This window comes from Homo sapiens, chromosome X (assembly GCF_000001405.40).
Source record: "Homo sapiens chromosome X, GRCh38.p14 Primary Assembly".
Classification (NCBI taxonomy): Eukaryota; Metazoa; Chordata; class Mammalia; order Primates; family Hominidae; genus Homo; species Homo sapiens.
Window position 1 is genome coordinate 140,715,834 of NC_000023.11, and position 26,106 is coordinate 140,741,939.

The 26,106-nt window shown below is 42.0% G+C and overlaps 1 long non-coding RNA gene across 5 annotated transcripts in view, besides 1 other annotated feature; it reads left to right on the forward strand.

The window, feature by feature from the left end:
* LINC00632 (long intergenic non-protein coding RNA 632) overlaps nt 1-26,106 on the forward strand; it is an 81,599-nt gene that overhangs the window by 6,075 nt on the left and 49,418 nt on the right. For all 5 annotated transcript variants that reach the window (NR_173144.1, NR_173140.2, NR_173139.1 and 2 more), the window contains one exon: nt 18,045-18,131. This is a non-coding gene — a long non-coding RNA (long intergenic non-protein coding RNA 632). Of the gene's footprint in view, nt 1-18,044; nt 18,132-26,106 lie in introns of those variants that run through there.
* Nucleotides 7,505-8,006: an enhancer, noted in NCBI's record as "NANOG hESC enhancer chrX:139805503-139806004 (GRCh37/hg19 assembly coordinates)". NCBI's record gives its function as "activates a minimal SCP1, AML or CMV promoter by ChIP-STARR-seq in primed H9 embryonic stem cells {active_cell/tissue: H9 hESC(primed)}" and the evidence as "EXISTENCE:reporter gene assay evidence [ECO:0000049][PMID:30033119]".

The following is a 26,106-nucleotide window of genomic DNA, read 5'->3' on the forward strand; positions in this document are numbered from 1 at the left end:
CATACTTGCCTCACAACTCACACAAACACCACCGAGCACTGAGACTCACCCTAAATGTACAGACAAGCCCTTCAGGGCACAGACTTACTCTGTAACATACTAAATCACATCCCCCATACTTAGATGTGCCTTATGATTCACAGTGATGCGTGTAAACACATAGATTGCTTCCACAATGCACAGAATTGCATCATAACACAGACTTACTCTACAGTGCAAAACTGACAGTGCACATAAACATTTCCCAGTCGGCTAGACACACAACACACATATTACTCCTACAATGTAAAGATTTCCATCACGGTGGACAGACGTGCTTTTCCATGCTGTTGAGCTACAACTCTGGCCTACAACAACAGAAATACAGCTTGTGTAATAGTTACCAGCAAGGCCTCTAGACCCATACTAACTGGGTTTGAATCAAGGTCCCGTCCCTTGCTGATTGTATCACCTTGGGTAAGTATATTTCTTTGTTCTTTAGTTTGTGCAACTGTAAAACAAAGATAAGAGTAGTGCCTACTTCAAAGAGTTGTTGTGAGTAATAAATACGTTAAGATTTGTTAAGTGCTTAGTACAGTGCCTGGTACATAGTGACTATTAGAATTGTTAATGTATATTACAACCATCACTATCATTACTACCAAAACAAAAAAGGCCTACCCCAGATATCTAGAATCATCTGACAACAAGAAGGCTCACCATATAATATATAGATTAGCCCTAGAACGTCTAGAAACACTCGACAGCACACAGACACCCCGCCATAGTACCCACATACCCTACAGACCAGAACCCTAACCAGATATCACTCACAACACACAGAATTGCATCACTAGTAACAAATTTGTGCACAGGCTTGCTCTATAACACATCCCACAATACCCAGACTGGAAGCCAGGCTGTGTGTTGTACCCAACCTCACCCCACAAGGCACAGGCCCACAACATACACACACACACACACACACACACACACACACACAGACACACACACATCCTAACCTCATAGATATGCCCTACATCATACAAACACACCCTATCACACATATTTTTGTTTCACAACATGTGGATACCCCTGCTCTTCACAAACATGTTCCTAAATACATGCTCCTAAAATTGGCAGCATCACATGATAACACAGAGCCCCCATTCCACAACATTTTTTTTTTTGAGACGGTGTCTCACTCTGTTGCCCAGGCTGGAGTGCAGTGGCGCAATCTCGGCTCACTGCAGCCTCCGCCTCCCAGGTTCAAGCAATTCTCCTGCCTCAGCCTCCCGAGTAGCTGGGAATACAGGCGCGTCCATGCCTGGCTAATTTTTTTGTATTTTTAGTAGAGACAGGGTTTCATCATGTTGGCCAGGATGGTCTTGATCTCCTGACCCCGTGATCCACCTGCCTCAGGCTCCCAAAGTGCTGGGATAACAGGCGTGAGCGACCGCCCCTGGCCACAACGCATTTTACACTTACCTCATGCTTGTCCCATAAAGAACTACATGCCCCACATCGCCTAAGTTGCCCATAAATCTGACTTACCGAACACTGCCACACGTATGACCAGGCCCCATACCACACAGATTTGCTCTGTAATACCTAGATAAGTCCTAACATGCAGAGATCACCCCTAAACACAAAACCATCCCAACTGCACAGCGTCATATCACAACAGACACACACACTCATCCCATAACATGCAGACTTGCACGAAAACACCCAGACTCCCACAAAGCAAACCCACGCCCACAATGCTAATACCACACAACGCCCAGACTGGCACAAGACAAAGACTAGCCTCAACTCATCTAGTCTCAACCCACATGATATAAAACTTGCTCTACAATGGTTAAAAGCTTATATTCAGGTCTCAGACTGTCTGAGTTCCAATCCCACATGCATCACTTACTAGTTGTGTGACCTCGGAAAGGTTTCTTGAACTCTCTGTGCCCCAGTTTTCTCAGCTACTTGTTAGGAATAATAATGTAATAGGGGTACTTACCTCTTATAGCTGTTAAGAGAAATAAATGGGCTGGGCGTGGTGGGTCACACCTGTAATTCCAGCACTTTGGGAGGCCGAGACGGGTGGATTAGCTGAGGTCGGGAGTTCGAGACCAGCCTGACCAACATGGAGAAACCCCATCTTTACTAAAAATACAAAATTAGCCGGGTGTGGTGGCACACACCTGTAATCCCAGCTACTTGGGAGGCCGAGGCAGGAGAATCGCTTGAACCTGGGAGGCAGAGGTTGCGGTGAGCCAAGATCATGCCATTGCACTTCAGCCTGGGCAACAAGAGCGAAACTCCGTCTCAAAGAAAAAAAAAGAGGAATAAATGAGTTAATGCCTATAAAGTGTTTAGAGCAATGCTTGGTAAAGAGTCAGCGTTATTGGTGTTACCTGATCAGGTTGTCATTGTTGTCATTACTCCACACGAAATTGGACCATAAAGGTAAGACTCAATCTAAAACAACTCGAATCAACCCACAATGCATAGAATATCCCTCATAAAGCACAGAATTGCATCATAGTGAATACTCTCACCGCTCTTTTCCTATAACACCCATCCCATATTGACTGCACCTATTCTTTTTTTTTTTTTTTTTGAGATGGAGTCTCGCTCTTGTTGCCCAGGTTGGAGTGCAGTGGCGTGATCTCGGCTTATTGCAACCTCCGCATCCTGGGTTCAAGCAATTCTCCTGCCTCAGCCTCCCGACTAGCTGGGATTACAGGCCCGCCACCACAAGCGGCTAATTTTTGTACTTTTAGTAGAGATGGGGTTTCGCCATGCTGGCCAGGCTGTTCTCGAACTCCTGACCTCAGGTGATCCACCCATCTCTGTCTCCCAAAGTGCTGGGATTACAGGCATGAGCCACCGCGCCCAGCCTGACTGTACCTATTCCGTAACGCCTAGAAGCATCTATCATATAGAGTTTCTGCATAACACCTAGACTTATCACACAACAGCTAGACACGCTACAATGCACAACATACCCAACAAACAGAAACTCATTCATGAAAAGACTCATCTCAGTTTAAGCAAATGCACTCTATCATACACATACGTGCTCTACAATACACATACTCACCCCAGAACACCACATTGGCTCCACAACACAAGGAACTCACTTCAAAATCTCTAGAAACAATCCACAAGCCATAGACTTCTCCAATATGCAGAACAGCATCACACCACATAAACTTGACTACAATTAACAGACAAGAAACCAGGACATGTGCCATAACACATACATTATCCCCGTGACATAAATACTGGTCCAGCAAAATACTGTCTTCCCTATACAACACTAAGATGTGCTTCATAAAATACAAACTTGTTTGACAACACAAATTAAAATATTTCAGAATGCACATATATACTCCATAACACACAGACTTGCTCTACAACACACCGACACACCCCATATCACCCAGATGTGACCCAAAACACACAGCAATACCCGATAAACAGTCACTCCTTTTTTTTTTCTTTGAGATGGAGTCTTACTCTGTTGCCCGGGCTGGAGTGCGGTGGCATGATCTCAGATCACTGCGACCTCTGCCTCCCAGGTTCTAGCGATTCTTCTGCTGCAGCATCCCCAGTAGCTGGGACTACAGGTGTGCACCACCACGCCCAGCTAATTTTTGTATTTTTAGTAGAGACTAGGTTTCATTTTGGCCAGGCTGGTCTCGAACTCCTGACCTCAGCTGATCCACCTGCCTCGGCCTCCCAAAGTGCTGGAATTATAGGCGTGAGCCACCACGCCTGGCCTCAGTCTCTCCTTTTAACACACAGACTGGCCACACAAAATAGCTTCTTCCTGCCACGACTTCCCTCACAGCAGCACATCCCACAAAGGATGGTCCACATACAGAGAAACACAATGTGCAGATATGTTCTGCAACACACAGCCTTCCTGGACAAGACCTAGACTCGCCCGGAAACACCCAGATCCATTTTACATTTTAAAGACTCACATCCCAGGCCAGGTGTGGTGGCTCACGCCTGTAATCCCCGCACTTTGGGAGGCCGAGGTAGGCGGATCACAAGGTTAGGAGTTTGAGACCAGCCTGGCCAACATGGTGAAACCCTGACTCTACTAAAAATACAAAAATTAGCCGGGCATGGTGGCGGGCACCTGTAATCCCAGTACTCAGGAGGTTGAGGCAGGAGAATCGCTTGAACCTGGGAGGCGGAGGTTGCGGTGAGCCAAGACCGCACCATTGCCCTCCAGCCTGGGCGACAGAGCAAGACTCCGTCTCAAAAAAAAAAAAAAAAACTCATATCCCAGATTAGTCTGCCAACCCATGGACATGCTCCACAATGCATGGATAGAACCACAATGCATGGACATGCCTTACAACACATGGAACTACACAGGCTCTACCTTTAACACACAAACTGTCTCCATAAAACACTTCCTTGTCTCTTCAAAACTTAGTTTAAAATCAGAAGAAATGCTCAAAAATACACATAGACTCAACAAGGCCTGGACATACCCCACTTCAACTAGCCTTGTCTTGTAACACTGAGACTCATCTGAAACATAGAGATACATTATGCCACACCTAGAATGACCCCCCAGAAACCAGACTAGCTCCAGAACACCCAAATAGGAGCCACAGTATATGGACATAACCCTACATATACAAATCCTTCCTACAACATAACGACTAATCCCACAAAACACTTTCTTGCTCCATAACACCAACACTTACCTCCCTGTGCATAGAATCGCTGGACAATACAGACACTTCTTACAATTACAGATATGATTCACAATACTAAGACTTGCTGTAACACATGCCAACTTCTCCAAGCCACACAGAATCACAACATTGTATGTATTATCGGACATGTCCGTATATTTTGGGGACAACTGAACTTATCCCATGACACCCAGGCCTTCCCCAAAATACATGGACGTGTCCCATCATACATATAATTTCCAGACAACAAAGACTGGTCCTGAAAAATAGGTTTTTTATTTCATAACACCAACGCTTAGCTGAGAGCACGCAGAAGTGCTGAGCAAAACATGCGTAAAACCCCACGATGCACAGACATGCCCTACAACACCCAAAGTCACTTCATAACACACAATCTCACTGCAACACACCAACCCAGGGACTTACCCTGAGACACTCAGACTAACACATCACATCCAGATCTACCCCCACCTAACCCTAATTGCCCCATGTCACCAGACTTACGTTGCAATAGCCAGACTTGACCTGCAATAGTCTGATTTGTCCCCTAACAACTAGACAAGACTATCCACACAATACATACAAAGACCCCCAAAATGTTTGCTTGTCTCCACAACACTGACAGTTTCTTAAGAACACACACAGATGCTGGAAAATACACAACCAAGTCCTGCAGCACTAAGATATGTGCCTGTAATACCTAGATTTGCCACACAACACCCAGAATGGCCCTGCAAAACTCCAGAATGCACCACAACAAGAATACATGCCTTGTGACACCAGAGCACGCCTTACAGCAGTCCCCAACCTGTTTGGCACCAGGGACCACTTTTGTGGAAGACAGTTTTTCCACGGACTGGGGGTGAGGTGGGAGGGGTGGTTTTGGGATGAAACTGTTCTGCCTCAGATCATCAGGCATTAGATTCTCATAAGGAGTGCACAACCCTGATCCCTCTCATGCACGGTTCACAATAGGGTTCACACTCTTGTGAGAATCTAATGCTGTAGCTGATCTGACAGGAGGCAGAGCTCAGGTGGTAATGCTTGCTCACTCACTGCTCGCCTCCTGCTGTGTGGCCTGGTTCCTAGCAGGCCATGGAGTGGTACTGGTCCGTGGCCCAGGGGTTAGGGACCCCTGCCTTACACCACATGGCGTGCTCCATAATACACAAACCATCCTAATAACATAGACTGACTCTATACTTACTTGCCTCAATAACATTAAGACACACCTTAGACCACATAAAAATGTTAGATAACATACAGAAAAAAACACATAAATAACAGACATGCCCTATAACACTTACACTCGCCTCATAGCACTCAGGTTCTCCTGTGACAGCTGGATTTACCCCCAAAATACCTAGACCTACCCCAAAGCACCCAGACATGCCCCACATAACCAGAAACATCACATATCACTCAAACACCTTCCAACAATCAGACTTGCCTGGCAACCCAGACTGTCCTACAATACACAGTAATGGCCCACAGCCAAGAGACTTCTCACAACTTACAGACTGGCCACAAAAAGCATCTTTTTGCTTTCACAACATCAAGACTTTCCACACAGCACATAGAAACAATGGACAAAGTTCAGAAAACCCCAGAGTGTAGTGGTATGCCTCATAACATCCAGAGTCACCCCATAACACAGGACCTAGACTGGCCCGATAAGATAGAATTAATACCCGCAATAAACAAACATGCCCTCTAATATATGAATTCATCACACAACACGCACACTGTCCCCACAAACACCTTTTTGGTGTCAAGAAGAAAAAGACTAGCTTCACTGAACAGAGAAATGCTGGACAGTGCACCTGCAGTTAAAAAAAAAAAAAAACAACCTCACAGACACAGCATTCATCACCCGAATCTGTTACAAAGTAACAGGCATCATCTTCTGACACACATATTTACCCCCCAGCACCAGAGTAGCTCCATAAAATACCTTCTTGCTTTTACAGTGCGAAGACTCGCCTCATAGCACAAGTCTGACATGCTGGAGAACACTCAGACAAAATCCTTAACATACATAAATATCACCCGGATTCCCTCCACAACATGAAATCTAACCCCATGAAACCCATGATAGTCCACAAAACCAGACACGCCTTATATCACCCAGTCTAGCTTCACAACAGCCAGGCATAATGCAAACTCGCCCCCGCAACTCATGAAAATACTCCACACCCAACAAACCTTCCCCCAACACAGAAACTTGCCGGGCAAAACAAATGCAATGGCTCATGCCTGTAATCCCATCACTTTGGGAGGCTGAGGCGGGCGGATCACCTGAGGTGGGGAATTTGAAACCAGCCTGACCAACATGGAGAAACCCCGTCTCTACTAAAAATACAAAATTAGTCGAGCGTGGTGGCACACGCCTGTAATCCCAGCTACTCGGGAGGCTGAGGCAGGAGAATCGCTTGAACCCGGGAGGCAGAGGTTGCAGTGTTGTGCCATTACACTCCAGCCTGGGCAACAGAGGGAAACTCCATCTCAAAAAAAAAAAAAGAAAAGAAAAGAAAAAAACTTCATGACACTCTCACACCAAGACTTGCTTCAGAGCACACACAAAAGATATAAAAGGATTGAAAACATACAGAACAACTTTGCAATGTGCAGATATACAGCAGTACTCACCTCAAATTACAGAAAGTCATACAACAAGATCCCTGCTGGTTCCATGATACACACATTCCATACACAGACACAGACACATTCCATACACACACACACATTCCATACACGTGCACACACACATTCCATACACACAGACACACATTCCATACACACAGACACATATTCGATACATTCCACACACACACACATTCCATACACACACATTCCATACACACACATTCCATACACACACATTCCATACACACACATTCCATACATACACACACATTCCACACACACACATTCCATACACATACACACACATTCCATACACGCACACACACATTCCATACACACAAACATTCCATACACACACACACATTCCATACACATACACAGACACACATTCCATACACACACACACATTCCATACACAGACACACATTCCATAAACACACACACATTCCATACACACACACATTCCATACACACACACATTCCATATACACACATTCCATACACACACATAGACACACATTCCATATACACACACGCCATACACACATTCCAAACACACACACACATTCCATACACACACATATTCCATACACACACATTCCATACACACATACATACACACACACATACACAGACACACATTCCATGCACACACACACATTCCATACACACACACATTCCATACACACACCTTCCATAGCAACAGACACACGCTCCATACACACACATTGCATACACATACACACACATTCCATACACACACATTCCATACACATGCACAGTTACCCATTCCATACACACACACATTCCATACACAGACACACACCATACACACACACAGACACACATTCCATACACACACACATTCTGTATGCACACACACACATTCCATACCCACACACACACATTCGATACGCACATATATTCCATATACACACACACATTCCATACACAGACACATTCCATACACACACAGACACATTCCATACACATACACAGACACATTCTGTACACACAGACACACATTCCATACACAGACACATTCCATACACACACAGACACATTCCATACACATACACAGACACATTCTGTACACACAGACACACATTCCATACACACACACATTCAGACACATTCCATACTCACACACACACTTTCCATACACATACACAGACATGCATTCCATACACACACACACAGTCCATGCACACACACAAACACATTCCATACACATACACACATTCCACACACATACACACACAGACATTCCATACACACACAGAGGCATATTCCATACATACACACACACACATTCCATACACACACACATTCCATACACACACATTCCACACACACATTCCATACACACACACACTTCCATACACAGAGACACATTCCATACACGCACAGACACACATTCTGTACACACACACACAAACACATATTCCGTGTACACACACTTCCATACACACAGAGACACGTTCCATGCCCACACATTCCATACACACACAGACACATCCAGTACACACACACACAGACACATTCCATATACACACACACATTCCCTACATACACACACAGACACATTCCATACACACACCCATACTCATTCCATACACACAGAGACACATTCCATACACACACGCACACATTCCACACGCACACACATTCCATATACACACACAGACACATTCCATACACACACATTCCATACACACACACACACATTCCATATACACATACACATTCCGTATACACACACAGACTCATTCCATACACACACAGAGACACATTCCATTACACACACTCAGACACATTCCACACACACACATTCATACACACACACATTCCATACACACACACAGAATCATTCCATACACACACAGACACATTCCATACACACAGACACACATTTGATACACACACACATTCCATATACACACACATTCCATACACACACATTGCATACCAACACACACACATTCCATACACATACACAGACACACATTCCATACACACACAAACACATTCCGTACACATACTCAGACACACATTCCATACACACACACACATTCCGTACACACACACAGTCACACATTCCATACACACACACATTCCATACGCACAAACACATTCCATACACACACACATATTCCATAAACACAAACACATTCCATACACACACACAGACTAATTCCATACACAGAGACACATTCCATACACTTACGCAGACACATTCCACACACACACACATTCCATGCACACACATAGACTCATTCCGTACACACACATAGACACATTCCATACACACACAGACACATTCCATATGCATACGCAGGTATGTCCCCAAAGAAATAGATTGTCTCCATCATATGCACATTAACCCAACGAAATACTTTTGGAGCTCTGTAACACCCAAACTTGACTCACAACACACATGAACACTGAACCACACAAATGAAACCTACACTACCCAGACATACCCATTGTTTGAAGACTTGCTGCAAAATACCCAGCCTTACGCCATGATATACAGACTTGGCCCATTGACCTATACCTACCTTGAATCACAGGGACTGATAGAGCAACACTCAGATGTGGCCCACAACCACAGATATGCCCTACCAAACAACTTTTTGTCTTCATAACATGAAGGCTTACCTCACAGAACACAGAAAGGATGAACAACACAGACAAATCAGACAACGCAGAAACACATCCCATGACACCCAGACTTGCTGCACAGCATTCAGACTCACACTATGACACTCATACTCACTCAATAACACTGATTGCTTCACAACATACGCACATAGCCCAAAACACACAAACATCATCCACAACTAACAGACATGTCCTACAATACAGGGGCATGCCACACAATTCACAAACTTTTTCTACACTGCCAACACTTGTCTCACATAACACACACAAATAAAAAAAAACCACAAAGACATGCTCCATAGCACCCAGACTCGCTTCACTACTTTCAGACTTACCTTATGGCACCCACACGTACCTTATATCATACACATTTACCCTGCAACACTCAGCCTGGCCACAGAATATATTTACATGTCCATGCCCCACAACGCACGCACATGCCTTCCAACACATGGACACACCCAAAATACACAAACGTTTTACACGACATACACTGACCCCAAAGAATGGCATCATAATGCACAATTATAACCAACTCAGATCTACCCTACAGAACAAAGACTCACCTCCCATACTTATCACACAATTCCTAAATTTACACCAAACACTCACACTCATCCCAAAATGCATAAACCCACCCCAGAACACATGCAGCACAACACGTAGATTTGCCCTCACTTAGAATAAATTCACAGCTCACACTTGTCACCCAATGGCCAGACACACCTTACAATGTACAGACAACTCTTTCACAACGTAGACATTGCCTAAGCAATGCACAGAATTCCATAACATCACGAGCTCTTCCTACAATGGCGACTTACCTCACAGCACCCCAGATTGCATCAGAGCAGACACTCCACCCAAGATATACGGCTTCTTCCACACCTCCTGGATACACCTCACAATACAGAAACATGCCTTGTAAGATATAGATTTCTCAGAACCATGAAGTATTGCATAAGAACTTATAAGCATTTCTCAAAACATATACTCCATAATTAATGGATACACAACATCTGCTCACATTCTCAAACACAGACTTGCCTTCCTCCCCATCACCCGCTGCCAGCATAGTCTTGTGCAGCAGGTCTAAGATGTACTGCAGAAAACAGACTTGCCCCACTCTGTATGGAGTTCTACCCAACTTTCAAATTCATTCTACAATGCACGGACCTTCCCTCTTACCTATAGCATTATCCCACAATGCAGAGACTTACCCACAAAGCAAATGATTACCTCAGAATGCACAGAGCCACCAGACCTGCACCCAAACACACAGACATGTACCACAACACCAAGAAACACTCCACAACATGCATATGAGCCCACATTGGTGTCTCCATAACTTCCACACTAACCACTCAACACCTAGACCAACTTACTATGTCATACATGCTCCATGACATAAGACTCCCAGCACAGCCCATGGAACCCCGTCACAATGAACAATTATTATTTTTTTAAGATGGATTTTCGCTCTTGTTGCCCAGGCCGGAGCGCAGTGGCGTGATCTCGGCTCACTGCAACCTCCGCCTCCTGGGTTCAAGCGATTTTCCTGTCTCAGCCTCCTGAGTAGCTGGGATTACAGGTGCCCGCCACTACGCCTGGCTAATTTTTGGTATTTTTAATAGAGACGGGGTTTCACCATGTTGGCCAGGCTGGTCTGGAACTCCTGACCTCAGGTGATCTGCCCACCTTGGCCTCCCAAAGTGCTGGGATTACAGGCGTGAGCCACCACGCCCGACCGTGAACAATTTTACCTCACAGTGCAAAAATTCACAAAATGCCAAGACTTACCCCACAGCTAATCCAATATTACCGTAACACCTAAAGTTGCCTGAAGAGCCAGTCATGTACCAGAGTACTACACATATTCCTCACAATGCCTACAGTGAACCTACAAGAAACTGACTTGCCCTGTATTGCTCATACTCACACCAGGACATGCCCTATAACCCACAGATAAGTTCCATAATGCAAAAATCTCCCTAACAATACACAGCCTCACTCTACAACAGACAATTATTCCACTATGAGAAGAAGAGATCCCAAATATCCAGCCTTACCCATGAACTCACAGTCTTGCCACACCACATTAAGACATGTCTTACAGGCCGGGCGTGGTGGCTCACGCCTGTAATCCCAGCACCTTGGGAGGCCGAGACGGGCGGATCACCTGACATTGGGAGTTCGAGATCAGCCTGACCAACATGGGGAAACCCCATCTCTACTAAAAATACAAAATTAACTGGGCATGGTGGCGCATGCCTGTAATCCCAGCTACTCGGGAGGCTGAGGCAGGAGACTCACTTAAACCTGGGAGGTGGAGGTTGCACTGAGCTGAGATCACACCATTGCACTCCAGCCTGGGCAACAAGAGTGAAACTCTGTCTCAAAAAAAAAAAAAAAGAAAGAAAGAAAAAGACATGTTATCTTATAATGCACAAACTAACTCCACAGTACTTAGATACAACTTACAGAGGACACATGTACCCTATGACAGAAAGGTTTTCCTACAAACACAAAATTGCATTCTGATGCACAGATTTACCCCCAAATGCACAAAATCACTCTGCAATGCAAATGCCCCACAAAAAACCATGTGCCCCCCAACACCCAGAATTACCCCAGGACTCACAGACTTGCACCACAGGATCAAGACCTACCCCATATTGTACGGATACGCTCCTCACCAGGCATGCCTTTTACAATGCAGCCTCACCCCACGAGGTACCCTTGACTGAAACCCTAGATACAGCCTACAGTGTACTTACCCCCACAACAACGTGGAAAACTTTCTAATGAAAGGTGTGTCCTTCAATGTACAAAATATCTTGCAAATTCATAGACATTCCCCACAGTCTCAGAATTGCCACATCATTTTCAGACTTTCTTCCAAATGCAGACTTACTCTAAAACACTTAGAATCAAATTAGACATACAGACTCAACCCATGTGAGATTCTCCCCACAGTGCACTAACGTGCTCCACAACACTCAGACTCTCCTAGAACACACAGAATCTCATCACAACCTCACACCACCCCACAACGCCAATAAGTGACCTACAAAACATAAAAATGTACGTGACAATTCACAACAAGCATCACAATGTACAGATTTGCCGCACAACACTGAGACACACACCCTGTCATCCACAGACACATCCTATCACATGAAATCACCCCACAAAACAAGCCATCACACAACACAAAAACCCACAGTTCAAGACATGCTTAATTATAACTTGACATACCCCACAACACACAAAATTGCATTATAATGCAGGCTGACCTTGTAGCACACAGAGCGGTCCTATAGTATTATACAAACACAACCTTCGCCTGCACCCCAGAATTGCCTCTAACCACCCACATTCTCTTTACAACACCAAGACACACCTCATATCACATCGAGAATCAGCCTGTATCATATAGTATTGCCCGAAAATGCACAGAATTGGACCGCAAGTTCCAGAAATGCCATACTAGGTGCAGACAGAGCCTCATTCCTGAGGGACTACCACCCTCAGAAAAAAAAACAAACCACAAACACATAGATTTCCTGTAACGCAGAGACACACTATAAAATGCAAAGATTGCCCCATCACATGGAGATTTACTATAGCTGTCCAGAATCAACCCATAAAATATATAGTCTCACCGCATGACTTCAAGACATATCCCACAATATACAGACTGTCATGTATAGACCACAACACCTGGACATGCCCTACAATGTGAGGACATGATCCACACTCTGTAGACTACCCGAGCACTGCATATAATTGAATCCAGAAAATCATAATCATAAAAGTCACAGCACCTAGAATCACTCCCACAAAGCATGCTCACCCCAAACCAGATGCCGATGACCAACTGGGTCCATGCTTTATAGAGATAGCCTATGGTAAAAAGGAATTTGAGAGGTAAAAAGGAATTTGAGGAGAAAAAAGAAAAAATATATAGAAATATACGACAATCCACAGCTTTCCCATGTGCCATTTATATATGCCTCTTCTTTTCTTTTTTCTTTTTTTTTTTTTTTTTTGAGACGGAGTCTTGCTTTGTCACCAGGCTGGAGTGCAGTGGCACAATCTTGGCTGACTGCAACCTCCGCCTCCCGGGTTCAAGCGATTCTCCTGCCTCAGCCTCCCCAGTAGCTGAGACTACAGGCGCACGCCACCGTGCCCAACTAATTTTTGTATTTTTAGTAGAGACGGGGTTTTACCATGTTGGCCAAGATGGTCTCCATCTCTTGACCTAGTGATCCCCCCGCCTCGGCCTCCCAGTGCGCTGGGATTACAGGCATGAGACACTGCACCTGGCCTTTATATATGTCTCTTTTAATGTAGAGAACAGCCTCGCAGTGAAGACATGTATCCCACTTGGCACAGATCGGCACCACAAGAAACTCCCTCACAGGACCTACACTTCCCTATACTTTGAATAACCCACATACTTGATCATCACCCACTTTCCTATCAGAACGACTCATGCCAAAACATAAAGCTCATTATTCCAAAACACATAGAACCAACTCCCAATGCAAAGAGACTTCCCTTGTAACAAAAAGATGTTCTCTGCCACACTGAGACTTACCTCACCTCACCAGACTTGACCCACAACATCTAGCCTTGCACCACTACACAGAGACATGTCATTTCACCGAGAAACTAGCCCCAGAACACTCAGGCTTGCCTCATGGTCGTTATATACTCATACCTTAGACTCATATCATGATGCGGAACAGGCATATACAGGGAAAATGTAATCCACAACGCACATGCTCAGTCCACAACGCATAGACTTGCCCCATATTTCACAGCTAGCTCCCATAATTCCCAGACTTGTTACACAATACTCGGAAGGCCTTACAACACCTAGAAAAAGCAGCATGATAGGTATGCTCACTCTAGAACATTCAGATTCACTTCATAAGGGACAAACTCAGTCAGTTACATTGAATACCCAACACCATATTGTTTGCTCCACAGAATATGAGAGAGGGCCTACATGCTCACACAGAGCTTTGACAAGTGACTTCATTTCTTTCTTTCTTTCTTTTTTTTTTTGAGATGGAGTCTTGCTCTGCTGCCCAGGCTGGAGTGCAGTGGTGCAATCTCGGCTCACTGTAACCTCCATCTCCCGGGTTCAAGCACTTCTTCTGCCTCGGCCTCCCAAGTAGCTGGGATTACAGGTGCGTGCCACCAGACCCAGCTAATTTTTTATATTTCTGGTAAAGACGGAGTTTCATCATATTGGCCAGGCTGGTCTCGAACTCCTGACCTGGTGATCCACCTGCCTTGGCCTCCCAAAGTGCTGGGATTACAGGCATTAGCTAGCACGCCCAGCCAACTTCATTTCTTTGAGTCTGTTTACCTATTTGTAAACATGGATGCAATATTTACTTTTAGACTATTCCAAGGATTAAATGAGATAACTTCAGGAAAGAATCAAGGTTCAGAACATAGAATTTAGAGGCAGACTTGCCTGCTTCCAATCCTGGCTCTACCACTCCCTGGGGCTATTACCTGGGCACATTAGGTATTGAAATGCTCTGTGGTAGAGCACAAGGAATATGAGTTTGGTGTCTGTCAGACCTGGTTTTGAATTCTGTCTCTGCCACTTACTGGCCATATGACCTTAGGCAAGGTACTTTAATTCACCAATCTTCAGCTCCTCACTTATAAATTGGGGATGATGGTGTTCCCTGCCTTCGAGGCTGTTGTAAGGATTAAATGATGCCTGGCATCTTAATCTAACAAGCAAGAATGTACAGGCACAGACACCGACTCACACCCAATGCGTGAATATATGTATATTATGTACACATGGATACATAGACATGCAGAAGCTCACAGAGATGAATATTTGCAAGCAGTAAACATAAGGACAAAACGTCCACATGGACACAGATGCCATTTTGTATGCCTGGACTCGTGCAGAGATAAATACAGGTGAATACAGATACAGTCCCACAAACTTACATATGTACACCTAGACATGGCTACAGCCCCCAAACAAGACAGGATTTCACCCACTTAAATGATGACACACTCAAAACCCCCATTACAGGCAAGGCGTGGCAGTTCGTGCCTGTAATCCCAGCACTTTGAGAGGCTGAGGCGGGTGGATCACCCGAGGTCAGGAGTTTGAGACCAGACAGGCCAACATGGTGAAACCCCGTCTCCACTAAAAATTCAAAAATTAGCTGGGCGTGGTGGCAGGCGCCTGTAATCCCAGCTACTTGGGAGGCTGAGGCAGGAGAATCGCTTGAACCCGGGAGGCAGAGGTTGCAGTGAGCCGAGATCGAGCCATTGCACTCCAGCCTGGGCGACAAGAGTGAAACTCCACCTCAAAAAACAACAACAAAAAACAAAAACAAAAAAAACCATTACAGGCCCATGCATAAAGAGCTCTATAAATGTACTTGCATATATAGACATTTAAATGCACAGGCAGATGTACACTCAGATGCCATGTATACCCACACAGAAATACCGAAGCAGACTACATCCTAAGCATGTAAGAGACATACACATATATCTATAGATAATACCTACCTAAACACACTTTAGACATGCATATGTACATATAGACATCCACTGGCACACAAATGCACAGATGTACAGACTTGCACCCTCACGTGTCAACATACACACACGTTGGCATGCACATATCCACACTGTTCTACAAATCTATGTTCGTGACATACAAGTCCTAAATGCACATTGAATATATGTATATACACGTATACATGTGCCAGTGTAGGTATATGGATGCATTTATAGACTTAATCATGCCACAAACAGAAACAGATTTACACACGCACAGACATTAGAGACACATGCAATTTATACATATGAAAAGCAGAGACACCTAACCACGAAGAAGCACCTTTACAAAGGTGGCTATGACTTTTTTTTTTTTTTCTGAGACAGAGTCTTGCTCTGTCATCCAGGCTGGAGTGCAGTGGCGTGATCTCAGCTCACTGTAACCTCCACCTCCCAGGTTCAAGCAGTTCTCTGCCTCAGCCTCCTAAGTAGCTGGGATTACTGGCACCCACCACCACGCCTGGCTAATTTTTGTATTTTTAGTAGAGACGGGGTTTCACCATCTTAGCTAGGCTGGTCTCAAACTCCTGACCTCAGGTGATCCACCCGTCTTGGTCTCCCGAAGTGCTGGGATTACAGGCATGAGCCACTGCGCCCAGCCGAGGCTGTGACTTTTAACGTGTCCTTGTCTTAGTCTCTTCAAGAGAGAATGAAAATTATCAAGCTCCTGCTAAATACACTGTGTAAAAGTAGATGTGGACATTACCAGAAGGATCTCTAAAAGATTTTGAGTTCACATGTGAGTATGCACACACCTCACAAACCCACGTGCACATGCGCTTTCGCGTGCACAGAATCAGAGATATAGCATCACATGGAATCACAGAAATAGAAACATGTGCATAGCCACATATAGAAAGATACATGGACAGACACACACCCCACTGAAATGTCAAACTGTAATATTTAAATGCATGTCTATTGAAGTTAAAAAAAAAAACCTGCATTTTTATCCCAGCTCCATCACTTACTAGTTCAATGATTTGAGGTCATTTTCTTGTCTTCTCACCTGTAACATGAGAGTAATATTAGCACCTATCTTTTAGAGTTCTTTGAAGATGTAGTGAAATGAAGGGCTTAGCCCAGTGCTTAGAATGTCATAGATGTTGCTGCTTATTGCTGTTATCTTTTGGTTTTGGTACAAAGTGCTTAGCTAGATAGGATTTGGTTTTTGTGGTCAAACTGCATGATTATATCATAGAGATGTATTAATCAACTTTTTTTGTAAAGGTATTAATAAAGAATAATTTATTAATGTAATATAGATTACATCCACAAACAAGGTCATTTCTGAAATTCTCAGCGGTGATAAGGGATTATTACTGTCTCTGGCAAATGGAAAGACCTGAAACAAATATTTCCTGCTAGTGTGGTTTGTTGTTATTACTGTCGTTAGTATTCTTTTCCTCTTTTCAGGAGGAGATGGAAGATTGAGAGCAGAGTGCAAGAATGGGAAGAGGGCTTCGTGCCCTGTGCACGTTTGCCACCTAGTGACCAAACTGAGTAAGTACCGTATTTGTGGATTGCTCAGAAACGTCCCTAAAACTTCACTCATTGCAAGGTTGTGTAACCACCCTGGTGAATAAGCACGTATACATCAAGTTATAGCGATTTCTGCTACATATGTAGAAATTTTTAAAAAGTCATAAAATAAAAAGAAATCTTTCTCTCTAACTTTTCCCCCTGCCGTCCCAAATTTCCCCGTGGAATTCATTGAGACCGTGTTCTATAGCAGTGATCTTTGTACTTTCTAATTATTTACCACCTAACATCATTTTGGAAAATGGTCTACTCCATCACACATCTTGAAGTGAACACCTGAAATTTCTTATCATAAATTTAAGTATTTGTAACATATTTCCAGCATATTATGAATACTCCGACTTTTAAATAAATTGGTTTCATCAAATTTTTGCATGCAATGAAATAAAAATACCATACCCATTTGATATTCATAATTGTTGATTTAAAAAAACATGAACAAGGTCTTCTTTAGCAGTCAGAAATTTTACGTAATGTTTCTATCTCCTTGAACTTGCCATTCCATTCAACTTCCCTCACATAATGTATAATAATGAATACATTTTCAATATTTAAAGGCCCCTTATTCGTCACCTTACCATACATGCCTGCAAAAAGCATACAAGAATTGAAAAAAAATTTCTGTGACTCTATGCCTCAAAAGATTAAAATTTTTATCATAAATTTATTAGTAGTACACAATCAGAAGAACTTAAAATATTACACATTTGGTAAGTAATCAGTAAAATGAAAAGTAAAATTGGTTGGAAATACATCTTTTTTTTTTTTTTTTTTTTGAGACAGAGTCTTGCTCTGTCACCAAGGCTGGAGTGCAGTGGCGCAATTTCACCTCACTGTAACCGCCACCTTCCAGGTTCAAGCAATTCTCGTGCCTCAGCCTCCTGAGTAGCTGGGATTACAGGCACGTGCCACCACGCCCGGCTAATTTTTTTTGTATTTTTAGTAGAGACAGGGTTTCACCATGTTGGCCAGGCTGGTCTCAAACTCTCGATCTCAGGTGATCCGCTCGCCTCAGCCTCCCAAAGTGCTGGGATTACAGGCATGAGCCACCCTGTCTGGCCAAAAATACATCTCTTAAGTGAATATGATTTTATTTTCCCCAAACTAATTTTTGAATCGGAGAATGACTCTTACTTATTTCTAATGAGCCAGACTTCAGTTCCTGTCCTTCATTTTTATAGATAAAAGAACTCAGAAAATTTTGTTCCCATAAATAATCATGTAGTGACCTGTCATCAAAAATAATTTTTAATGATTAAAAAAATTTTAACTAAATTTTTGATGTTTAACAGACAACTTGATTAGACCCATCTTTAATTCTGTGAAAGCAAAGAAACCCTCTGATTTACTAAAGGATTTGTTGTTCAGTCACTTTTTTTCTGTTTCTGGGAAGTTTACTAAAATGGCTTTCCCCAAATTTATTACATAACTATTATATGTTATATTTTCATTTGAGGCATTATTTAAAATTCATTATACACATAAAAGGTTGTGAAAATCAAAGTACTTAGATCAATATGTCTTTGCCAATACGATAATTTTGATAAAATGGTATTTATTTATTTATTTATTTATTTATTGAGACAGAGTTTCGCTCTTGTTGCCCAGGCTGGAGTGCAATGGCGCAATCTCGGCTCACTGCAACCTCTGCCTTCCGGGTTCAAGCGATTCTCCTGCCTCAGCCTCCCAAGTAGCTGGGATTGCATGCATGTGCCACCACGCCCAACTAATTTTTGTATATTTAGCAGAGACGGGGTTTTCCATGTTTGTCAGGCTGGTCTCGATCTCCCAACCTCAGATGATCTGCCTGCCTTGGCCTCCCAAAGTGCTGGGATTACAGGCATGAGTCACCACGCCCAGCCTTTAATTTATTATATTCTATAAATATAAGAACTTGAGGCTACAGATTTGAATTAACAATTTTATAGGAAATATTCATAATTTATTTGGCAAAGGCAGTATTCATATAAAAATAATCAACAAAATCAGATTTACTTTCAGAAAAAGTGTCTGACTTCATTTTTCAAGGAAAAAATATTAATATACGTTTTGAGGTGCATTATTAAAACCATGGATAAATCAATTATGGAGCACCTTGTTAAATAACTAGCAAAGTAAATATCATATTAAAATAAATATGAGGCTTTTATCCACTTCAAAATAAATTAAGAAATTAAATAATAACTTTGTTTCTGATATATAATTTTAAATTAAACAATGTAGTATGTGGTTACCATTATAAGTCATACATGAAACAAGGAATCTGAAGGTAGGCAGAATTTCTCATGTAAATATGTATGTATGTGTTTTTAGAACATTGGAGTTGAATTTCTTGGAATAATTGACTAAGAATAGCATATACATTTTTTTTTCAAATCCATAAACTTCATTAGACCATAGAATTAAAGTTTTCTTTTTCTTTTCTTCTTCTTCTTTTTTTTTTTTTTTTTTTGAGACAGAGACTCGTTCTGTTGCCAGCCTGGAGTGCAGTGAGTTGATCTCGGCTCACTGCAACCTCCCCCTCCCAGGTTCAAGCTATTCTCCTGCCTCAGCCTCCCGAGTAGCTGGGATTACAGGTGCCCTCCATCACGCCCAGCTAATTTTTGTATGTTTAGTAGAGACGGTGTTTCACCATGTTGGCCAGGATGGTCTCGATCTCCTGACCTCGTGATCCGCCCATCTAGGCCTCCCAAAGTGCTGGCATTATAGGCATGAGCCACTGTACTCGGCCTAGTATCAAACTTTTTAACGATATTTTATGAAAGAGTCTAAAAAATACTTGCTAAATATAAAACTAGCATATCATTTTATTTTTGATAATAGGAGGTAGAAAGTATAAAGGTTATTTATAAAATGAAATGAAGATTGATGCTTTTTTCTTTTTTCTTTTTCTTTTCTTTTTTTTTTTTTTCTGGAGTCAGAGTCTCACTCTTTTGCCCAGGCTGGAGTGCAGTGGTGCAATCTCGGCTCATTGCACCCTCTGCCTCCCGGATTCAAGTGAGTCTCGTGCCTCAGCCTCCCGAGTAGCTGTGATTATAGGTGCGAGCCGCGACACCTGGTTAATTTTTGTCTTTTTAATAGAGGCAGGGTTTCACCATGTTGCCCAGGCTGGTCTCGAGCTCCTAGACTCAAGCAATCCATTTGCCTCGGCCTCCCAAAGTGCTGGCATTACAAGCTTTAGCCACCGCAGTCGGCTGAGGATTGATTTTAATTGGAAAAGATATTTTACGATACAGTCTGAGAAAACAGGTTCTAACAAGTTTAATACAATGATCACATAATTTCTGAAATAAATTACATAATTTCTTATTTAATTTTTAACTTTTTAAATAATTTTGATACATTTGTACATACTTATGAGGTACATGTGAAATTTTGTTACATGCCTAGAATTTGTAATGATCAGGTCAAGGTATTTAGGGTAGCTATCACCTGAGTATTTATCATTTCTCTGTGTTAGGTACATTTCAGCTCCTCTCGTCTAGCCATTCTGAAAAACACAATGCATTGTTGTTACCTATAGTCACCTTACTATGCTATCCAACACTAGAACTTATTCCTTCTATTTAACTGTGTGTTCGTATCAATTAATAAGCCTCTCTTCATCCCTCCCCTCCTGCCTATACAGCCTTCCCAGTCTCTGGTGTCTATTATTCTACTCTCTACCTCCATGAGATCAACTTTTTTAGCTCCCACATATGAGTGAGAATATGTACTGTTTGTCTTTTTGTGCCTGGTTTATTTTACTTAAGATAATGACTTCCAGTTCCATCCATGTTGCTGCAAATGATAGGATTTCATTCCTTTTTATGACCCAGTAGTATTCCATGGTTTATATGTACCACGTTTTCTTTATCCATTCATCTGTGGATGGACACTTAGGTTGATTCCATATCTTTGCTATTGTGAATAGTGCTGCAATAAACATGGGAGTGCATGTATCTCTTTGATATATTAATTTCTATTCCTTTAGGTAAATACCCAGTGGTGGTATTGCCCATTTCTATACATAAGTTTTACCAAAGTCTAAATATTTTTTAGTACTAGAATACAGTCCAATTGTGTTGAAAAGAATCAGTGTCAGCAATATATACTGCAACTAGTTAGGAGATGCTCTTTTTTTTCCCAGTTGATGACACACGTTTGTGATTAATGTTGAGAATAGATGGAAAATAATGCTTAATTTTAAGCATGTGGGAAAAAATGGTGTTCTTAGGTAGATTCATTTTAAGAGAGAATACACGTAAGAGTTGAGCACCTGAAAGTGGATTCATTGATACTGTTCCTACTCACATACTTCTTGAAAAGAATTTGTGTAACAGTAGCCTAGTGTGAAGACCACCGTTCTAGTCTGTCTCCTGCAAGATTGTTCCAGAACAATATATTGTTGTAATTGTTGGAATAACCCATTTATTGTAGTTTATGTTCACAACCATGCAATGGAAGTAGTTGTCACTTTTGAATTTCTGCCAGATGCTTCTGTGAGTGATCATGTTTGAGCAAAATGTCCTGGAAGGGATGTTTTTGTTTTGTTGATAAATACATATTTTGACTAAACTTGTTTTGTCCAGTTTGGGAGCCACAATCACATGTGGCTATTTAACATTTAAAATGTGGCTAGTACAAACAGATATGCTGTAAGTATAGAATACATACTGGATTTCAAGGACAGGACACATAAAGTATTTCACTAATATTTTATGTTAATTACATGTTGAAATAATATTTTGATGATATAGAATTAAATAGTACATTTCACTAAAATTAATTTTACCTGATTTTTAGACTTTTAAAAAATGTTGCAACAAGAAAATTTAAAATTACTTGTGAAGCTCACATTGTATATATTATATGACAGTGCTGGTCTAAAGTTTATATTGGAAATCTCTCTAAGTTTCCCTAAAACCACTTCTATGGAAAAAATTGATTTTCCACTAATCTGGTTCAGTATACTGCTATTCTGATGTAACGTGTGCCTTTTACTAGTTTTTGGGTTTCCATATTGGGGGATTTTTAGTAGTAAGCAAGAAAAAGTTTAAAAAGTAATATTCCAGTAAGAATATTGGAAAAAACATCTATTAGTACCTAGACGCTTTCCCATATGAACTTTGAAAGGCTTCTTGGTGGTTACATGTGAAGCTTTTCAGACTCTTCATAATTCCAGTGGTGGATAATGCATTCTATTGAAGACATGAAGTATTTAATCACATCTGATTTCTTTTTTTTTCTTTTTGAGATGGAGTTTCGCTCTTGTTGCCCAGGCTGGAGTGCAATGGTATGATCTTGGATCACAGCAACTTCCGCCTCCCGGGTTCAAGCGATTCTCCTGCCTCAGTCTCCCTAGTAGCTGGGATTACAGGCATGCACCACCACGCCCGGCTAATTTTTTGGATTTTTAGTAGAGATGGGGTTTCTCCATGTTGGTCAGGCTAGTCTCGAATTCCTGACCTCAGGTGATCTGCCTGCCTTGGCCTCCCAAAGTGCTGGGATCACAGCCGTAAGCCGCCACCCCCATCCACATGTGAAACTTTTTTATGTAATTATTTTTATGTAACATTAAGAGAAAAATACACTTCCAGATAAACTATGATGTAATGCTTTCATATTCATAGAATTTTAATTTTATACTTACTAATGAGCTCTTTTAGACTTATTTAGATATATATTTTTATTATGTATCATGATATAACAACAGCCGTGACCAAATTTGAGCATAAACAGACAATGTCTACCCCTATTCAACCACCTTCTGGCCCACAGTGACTGTAAAATTCCATTGATTATAAGATCCATTCTGATTTCAGTAATATGAAGTGTGATTAAAAAAAAATATGCATCCTAGAATTGATTAAATACACCAAGTCATTTATCAAGAGAAAAGGATCATGGAGGGCAGAAAGTCAAACTGGAAGACATTGGCCTAATGAAAACACCTTTTCTATATATTATCGTATTTACAAAACTTAAAATGTGATTCTCTTTAAAATTTTATCAGAGTCCTCTTAAATAACATTTCATTATACATCTCCTCATAATTGGTATTTCATGGTTTTCCTGGCATTCTGTTCTTTGTTTCCTGGTTTGGAAGTGGGAGGGCTAGGGAAGAATGGTGACATGTGGGGCCAGGGCTGGGACAGACCAGATCTCTCCAGACTGAAAAGGTCTAGTACCTCCATTGGGAGAACTGCTTAGCACTGTCTTGTGTGAAGCTATGACTTCAATGACTCTGTTTTTCTTCATAAGTAAGCTGACAGATGGAGTTCTCCTCGTCAAGGCTTAGTTTAGTCTTAACATAATCAGTATACCTTTTCTTGACTGAAGGGTCTAAGAAGGGAAGGAATGAAGATTGAGCAGCTTCTCTAGTTTTTGTTTTATATTATATTTGGGAGGTCAGCAGGATGCATCAAAATTTCACAGGAAGTACATTATCTCAAGAATCAATAACATAAAATCGAGATTTGTCAACCAGGAATTATGGCACATCCCTGATTCTAATGATACTCTTGATGATATGAGATTTACAAGAAGTAACAAAGTGAATGTTTTTTTTTTGCAACGAGAAGAATAAGAGAACCAATGACCTGTTTTCTCTCTTGTCCCTACAGTGAAACCTTACATTAAGACTTAGGTATTTCTTGAGGGTTTAGAAGCAAGGCCAACTTCATGAGCAAAAGGGGCTTTTGCACAGGGCCCCTTGCTTACAAAGGTTCCATACTTGGCTTAATGCTCTGCTGTCACTGTCTTGAAATTCTTAATAATTTTTGAAAAAGGGGCCCCACATTTTCATTTTGCACTAGGCCCCACCAATTATGTAGCTGATTCCATTCAAAAGGAGATACTTGCCAGTGAACAATTAACTGAAGATGCAAAATAAAATTAGAAGCATTCCTCATGTGCACTGAATTCTTGCTGTCAGCTCATAACATAGGATTCATAAGCTATTATTGCTGCTATTGTGTTGTTAGGAATCATAGTTGTAGAACAGGGGTAGTTAGTACAACTCAACAGTACCTTATATTGACTCCTTATTTTTCCATGATACAACCTGGGGCATCTTCTGTGTTTCTAGTTTCTCATCTATAAAATGTCTGTGACATTACACTTGCCCTGCTTAACCCCAGATAAGGCAATTGTTAGAATCAAATTGAAATTCCAGTGAAAGTACATTGTGACCTGCAACAGTTGAAACAGTAAAGGTTGAAACAGATGTAAAAGATGATTTATTCCTCTCTAGAGCTTGGAGCCTACGTGGCAAGCACCAGCCAGGGGCTCTAGGGATCTGAATTAGACTCAGTAGTGAGGCTGCTCTGACCCATGAATACAGAGTAAATATTCCAGTGGGTACTAGAGCCAGGAAATCATGCCTTTAAAATTTCAAGAGTCCAACCAGGGCATCCCACTGTTGTCAAAAGGGCTGGGTTGAGGCACCTGGATGCAAATTGCAGAAATGCACATAGGGTTAGAGGGTTTGGAAGAGAGAAGAGGAAGTGCAGCTTGAAGAGATCCTCTGAGCCACTGGGGCATGGTCACAAGCACTTGTCTTGGACACCAAGATGAAGGAGGGAATGGCCAAGGGTGCCCGCCATCTCAGACTAACAGAAGTTTTCCTGTTACCCAGAAGAGAATTGTATTCAGAGCTGCCATTACCTGAGTAAGGAAAGGACTCTTTTGTCTCTATTGTATGAGGGAACTCATTTTCTTGGTTGTAAAGGGGAATAGCTCATAATAGAGACCTTGGGGAAGTCAGGAAATACCAGATGGCTCCAAATGCAAGAATGCCTATAGATGATTGCCTTCTGTAGTACATCCTGAGGTCTTAAACAATTACAGCATCTTGCTATGAAATGCAATGGACAGAGGTGAAAGTAGCAGTTCAGATGAGGCCACAGAAAATGCCAGTTGAAAGATGATTTGCAAATAATCTTGGCAATGCTTT